Source organism: Homo sapiens, chromosome 15 (genome assembly GCF_000001405.40).
Source record: "Homo sapiens chromosome 15, GRCh38.p14 Primary Assembly".
NCBI classification, from domain to species: Eukaryota; Metazoa; Chordata; class Mammalia; order Primates; family Hominidae; genus Homo; species Homo sapiens.
The window spans coordinates 56,823,942-56,825,261 of record NC_000015.10 but is presented as its reverse complement, the minus strand read 5'-3'; the positions used below and the strand labels follow the sequence as shown (position 1 = coordinate 56,825,261).

The window sequence follows — 1,320 nt, the reverse complement described above, 5'->3', positions numbered from 1 at the left end:
CTAAAACCGTTTTCTTCCTTTTGCATTCAGCTGTTTATTTAAAAGTTATTTTTTACTGCATTTTGCCAATTATTTCTATGTGTAGGTACCAATCTGCTATACTCTAAAAAGCTGTGGGAGTTAATTTACTTATCTTACAGACTATTTACAAGTTCCAAGTCTCACCTTCCACCTCACATCTTTTTGTTTTTGTCTGGTTTCCTCTGTTTCCATCTACTTGACTTACTAGTAGATTCTTTCTTTCTTTTTTTTTTTTTTTTAAGATGGAGTTTCACTCTTGTCACCCAGGCTAGAGAGCAGTGTGCGATCTCAGCTCACTGCAGCCTCTATCTCCCAGGTTCAAGCAATTCTCCTGCCTCAGCCTCCCGAGTAGCTGGGATTATAGGCGCCTGCCACCACACCTGGCTAATTTTTGTATTTTTAATGGAGATAGGGTTTCACCATTTGGCAAGGCTGGTCTTGAACTGCTGACCTCAAGTGATTCACCCGCCTCAGCCTTCCAAAGTGCCGGGATTGCAGGCGTGAGCCACCTCAAATCCCTTTGTCTCTCAGGTTGGGGAGGTAAGACCTCCTCTGCACACAGGCTCCTGGACACCATGCTCTGCTCACAGCCAGAGTCCAGGTAAGAAAGCTGGCCATAGTTCTCTGTGCCGTAGTTCCTGGGTGTGTTGCCTTTTCCCCATCCTTCAGCAGTTTCTAAAATGATGGACTTGACAGGTCTCAGCCTTCCTGGCTGGACACAACCCTGGCTATGATAGAAACATGCCCAGCTGGAAGCAGCTGACATGTCCAGAGCTTCCAGCAATGGGCTTTCCAATACAACATGTTGGGGCCCTTATTTCCTGTCACTTCTTTTTGGCTGGGTGGCTCCATCTAGCCACAGGCATTCCCTGGGCAGCTGTCAGAGTTAACATCTGAGCCTGGTCAGCACTAGTGCAGCTGTGGGCTCTGGCATTGCTGCTCATAAGTAAATTCCCCAGTGAGCCCACAGTGCTGCCTTGACATCTCTGTTGGGTGCAATTCTCTTCAAAGAAGGCCAGCTTCCTAGGTGCGAGCCCTATGCAGTCACACTGGGACCCGCCCTCAGACCTTGTACTTGGATTCATGCTCTGGTGTTGATAGCTTGAAACTTAAAATAATTTGTGAATAAAGTTTTGCTTTTTACTGGGCTCCATAAATTATGTAGCCTCTCCTTAGGAGAAACAGAGAAGAATACCACCGGCACTTGGGGAAGTGGGTGGGGTTTATCGACTAACCCGCGTCTTGGGAGTGCAGAGCAGCGGCCATTATAAGTAATTGTTTTTTCTCTGGGAAGCTCCC

General features: G+C 47.0%; 1 annotated feature.

Annotated features, from left to right (window-relative positions):
• Positions 926-1,095: an enhancer, noted in NCBI's record as "experimental_40384 CRE fragment used in MPRA reporter constructs". NCBI's record gives its function as "activates a minimal promoter by MPRAs in K562 erythroleukemia cells, with activity observed for both the introgressed and non-introgressed 15:57116450 variant alleles {active_cell/tissue: K562}" and the evidence as "EXISTENCE:reporter gene assay evidence [ECO:0000049][PMID:34662402]".